Source organism: Homo sapiens, chromosome 16 (assembly GCF_000001405.40).
Source record: "Homo sapiens chromosome 16, GRCh38.p14 Primary Assembly".
In the NCBI taxonomy this organism is placed as follows: Eukaryota; Metazoa; Chordata; class Mammalia; order Primates; family Hominidae; genus Homo; species Homo sapiens.
This window is the reverse complement of record NC_000016.10, coordinates 89,702,865-89,707,133: the sequence shown is the minus strand read 5'-3', so window position 1 is coordinate 89,707,133 and position 4,269 is coordinate 89,702,865. Positions and strand designations below refer to the sequence as shown.

Sequence of the window (4,269 nt, the reverse complement as noted above, 5' to 3'; positions counted from 1 at the left end):
CTTCGCCGTGTGGCTCCCTCAATCCCCACCCCACTGGCCAGGCAGCACAACCACCCCTGCTGCCCATGGCAGAGGCCGCTGAGGATGTGGGGGACGAGCCACAGCCCAGCCCCAAACCAAGCCTGGCCCAACCTCTTGAACATCTGCCAGCCTCCGAGACCCTCTGCATAGAAGCAGGGTCCTCTTGGGGCTGTGCCTGGCCAGGCAGGTGTGGGCTTCACCCTCTTGGACAGGAGAGCTCTGCAGGGCATCAGTGGGTGGGAAGGGTGGGGTGAGGCTGGGGTCCAGGTCATCACTGGGGACCTGAGCCCAGAGCAGTCACCCGAGGGTCTCAGGAATCATCGTTCTGTGCATGGCGACACACACATGCTCTGAGGTGCACAGAAGGCTGCCGGGCGTGGACAGCATCTGCCAGGGCGGTGTGGGCAGATCAGGATGGAGGGCTCTTCTGCAAGAAAGGCACCCCTGGCACCTTGAGATGCCATGAGGAGGCAGGTGGCAGGGCTGGTGGGGTGGGAGGTCCCAACCCTAGATGCTACCAGGAGCTGGCTGGGGGGCAGTGTTGCTGTTCTCAGGGAAACAGTCTTAAAAGCAGTAGCTGTGGACCTCGGTGGGATGCTCTGTGCTTGCACCCTGAGCAGGGGCTGGTTTACCCGCCAAGGACCCCATAGGGAGACAGAAGTGTCTCTCTGGGTGGGGCAGAGCTGGAGCATCTGCCCCAGCCCTCGATACGAACCCCAGCTGGCCACGGTGCCTTGGAGCTTGGGCTGCTCCGGCCTCAGCGTTGGTGTCTAGAAGATGGGATTTTAAAGTCCGCTTCATAGAATGGTGGAGATGAGCTGTGTCTTGAACAAATCCTGGCGTGGGAGCCCCTGCTGGCTTGGCATCGGGGCCACACCTGCAGCCTGCACACTGTGGGGGCCGGGAACGTCCTGGCTCAGCTGTATCCCTGGCGCTGAGACCCGGCAGACATGTTCAAGTGCTGCTGTTTGCTGTGCAGCTTTGCCCTCGCTGAGCCTGCAGCTCCCCCATAAGACAGGAATGAATAATAGCAGCTTCCTTTTAGAAATCCTACAAATGGCCGGGCGCGGTGGCTCACGCCTGTAATCCCAGCACTTTGGGAGGCCGAGGTGGGCGGATCACGAGGTCAGGAGATCAAGACCATCCTGGCTAACACGGTGAAACCCCGTCTCTACTAAAAATACAAAAAATCAGCCGGGCGTGGTGGCCCGCACCTGTAGTCCCAGCTACTCGGGAGGCTGAGGCGGGAGAATGGCGTGAACCTGAGAGGCAGAGGTTGCAGTGAGCTGAGATCGTGCCACTGCACTCCAGCCTGGACGACAGAGAGAAACTCCGTCTCAAAAAATAAAAATAAAATAAAAAGTAATGGCTGGGCGCAGTGGCTCATGCCTGTAACCCCAGCGGTTTGGGAAGCCGAGGCGGACGGCTCTTTTGAGGTCAGGAGTTCGAGACCAGCCCGGCCAACATGGCGAAACCCCGTCTCTACTAAAAATACATAAATTAGCTGAGCGTGGTGGCGGTAGTCCCAGTTACTCAGGAGGCTGAGGCCGGAGAATTGTTTGAACCTGAGAGGCAGAGGCTGCAGTGAGCCGAGATCACGCCATTGTACTCCAGCCTGAGCACAGAGCGAGACTCCATCTAAAAAAAAATAAAAATAAAACTATTCTGCATAAGCAGTGTCCAAATCATAACAAAAATCAAATGAAAAGTAAACAAGATGTAACCTTATATCCATTGGACCGGAGAAGATGAGGAAGCTGGACGATGCTGAGTACAGGAGGGGGAGGGAGCTCACGCACACTGTGGGGTGGACACGGCAGTGGCCCCAGGGGACCAGGTGCAGTCCTGGAGTCCAGGTAAGTGTGGACGGAACCTCCGACCTGGCAAGGCTGCTGCCGGTTTTAGAGGATGTATATGCAGTGGAGGCAATGGAGTGTCTGTCCCGGGAGGGCAGGGAAGGACGGAGAATCCACACGGCAGCTCATGGAGTGTCCATCCCCGGGCAGGAAGGGAGGGAGCCGTGAATGTGTACAGCCCACGTAGCCACCGCTGCCTAACAAACTACCCCAACTCAGGGGCTTAAATACTCAAGACGCCAGGCATGGTGGTTCACACCTGGAATCCCAGCACTTCGGAAGGCTGAGGCGGGGGGATCACTTGAGCCCAGGAGTTTGAGACCAGCCTGGGCAACATAGTAAGGCCCCCCTCTCTACTAAAAAGTTAAAAATTAGGCTGGGCACCGTGGCTCACGCCTGCAATCCCAGCACTGTGGGAGGCCGAGGTAGGTGGATCACCTGAGGTCAGGAGTTTGAGACCAGCCTGGCCAACATAGTGAAGCCCTGTCTCTGCTGAAAATACAAAAAGTACAAAAATCAGCCAGATGGCTCCTCAGCATCATGGGAGGCTGTTTCTAGGTGGTAACCCAATGACCAGGGGTTGGATTCATCCGAAGAGCTGTCTGCTGTCTATGGTTGGTGCCAGCTGTCGGCTGGGACCTCATTCAGGGCTGTCGGAACGACGACGTGAGGACTGGATGTGTTGCCAGGGGCTGCCAAAACGACCACAAAATGGGTGGCTTACAGCAACAGAAATGTTCTCTCTCACCATCTTGCAGGCCTGAAGTCAAAATCAAGCTGTCAGCAGGGCTGACTCCCTCTGGAGGCTTTAGGGTAGAATTCTGTTTGCCTCCAGTTTCTGGTGGCTCTAACACAGCTGTGTTACCTTCGCTCACGGCACCCTCGTTCCACTCTGCCTCCGTCTTTAAGCGGTCTTCTCTCCTGTGCGTTCATATCTAAGTTTCTCTCTCCTCATAAGGACAGCAGTCATACTGGATTGAGGGCCCATGCCAACCCAGAACAACCTCATCCTTTTTTTTTTTTTTTTTTTGAGATAGAGTCTTGCTCTGTGGCCCAGGCTGGAGTGCAGTGGCGCGATCCCGGCTCACTGCAAGCTCCGCCTCCTGGGTTGACGCCATTCTCCTGCCTCAGTCTCCCGAGTAGCTGGGACTACAGATGCCCGCCACCACGCCCAGCTAATTTTTTGTATTTTTTAGTAGAGATGGGGTTTCAGTGTGTTAGCCAGGATGGTCTCGATCTCCTGAGTTCGTGATCCACCTGCCTCGGTCTTCCAGAGTGCTGGGATTACAGGCGTGAGCCACTGCGCTCGGCCCAGAACAAACTCATCTTGATTTTTGTCTGGAAAAACTATTTCCAAAAAAGTCCCAAGAATAGGCTGCAGGTGAATGTGAGTCGCAGGTCGAAGTTGCAGGCCAAAAGCTCTGCACACGGCCGTGGCCTTCTCACTCTAGTGGCTGGGTTCTGAGGGTGTGTTAGTCCGTCCCCATGCTGCTGTAAATAGCTGCCTGAGGCTGGATAATTTATAAAGAAAAGACGTTTAATTGACTCACAGTTCCGCATGGCTGGGGAAGGCCTCAGCAAACTCACAATCATGGCAGAAGGCGTCTCCTCACAGGGCGACAGGAGCGAGAATGAGCACTGAACAAAGGGGAGAACCCCTTATAAAACCATCGGATCTCGTGGAATTCACTATCACGAGAACAGCATGGAGGAAGCTGCCCCCAAGATTTAATTATCTCCACCTGGTCCTGCTCCAGACCTGTGGGATTACAATTCAAGATGAGATTTTGGGTGTGGATACAGAACCAAACCATGTCAGAGGCCAAGGATCTCAAGACAAGGCCAGGGTATGGCATGTTTATGATTTAGCCTTGGAATTCATTCCACATCAGTTCTATTCCATGGGTTGAGGCAGGTGCAAAAACCCACCCAGGCCTATGGGAGGAGAGCTAGGCCCACTGCTGGATGGATGGACTGGTGTTGCCAAATTCAGTGAGGACAAAGGCAGAACAGTTACCTCCACCCTCCTCCGCATCAGAAGAAGAATAAAGATGAGACTTACGAAGTTAGCTGTCCTGAGGACTGGTGTGGACCCATGGTGGCACTGGGCACCAAGAGTGAGTTCAGTAAACAGTAAGTAAAAGAGCTCCCTGTCCAGAGGTGGCCACCTAGATAACTCAGGGAGATCCACCGACTGCATCACGATTTTTTTTTCCAGACATTCTCGCTCTGTCACCCAGGCTGGAGTGCAGTGGCACGATCTTAGCTCACTGCAACCGCAACCTCTGCCTCCCAGGTTCAAGTAATTCTCCTGCCTCAGCCTCCCAAGTAGCTGGGCTTACAGACATGTGCCACCACGCCCGGCTAACTTTCGTATTTTTAATAGAGACGG

The 4,269-nt window shown here is 54.7% G+C and overlaps 2 annotated features.

The window, feature by feature from the left end:
- Positions 247 to 747: an enhancer, noted in NCBI's record as "H3K4me1 hESC enhancer chr16:89772795-89773295 (GRCh37/hg19 assembly coordinates)". NCBI's record gives its function as "activates a minimal SCP1, AML or CMV promoter by ChIP-STARR-seq in naive H9 embryonic stem cells {active_cell/tissue: H9 hESC(naive)}" and the evidence as "EXISTENCE:reporter gene assay evidence [ECO:0000049][PMID:30033119]".
- Positions 725 to 904: an enhancer, noted in NCBI's record as "active region_11418". NCBI's record gives its function as "activates an Ori minimal core promoter by ATAC-STARR-seq in GM12878 lymphoblastoid cells {active_cell/tissue: GM12878}" and the evidence as "EXISTENCE:reporter gene assay evidence [ECO:0000049][PMID:35858748]".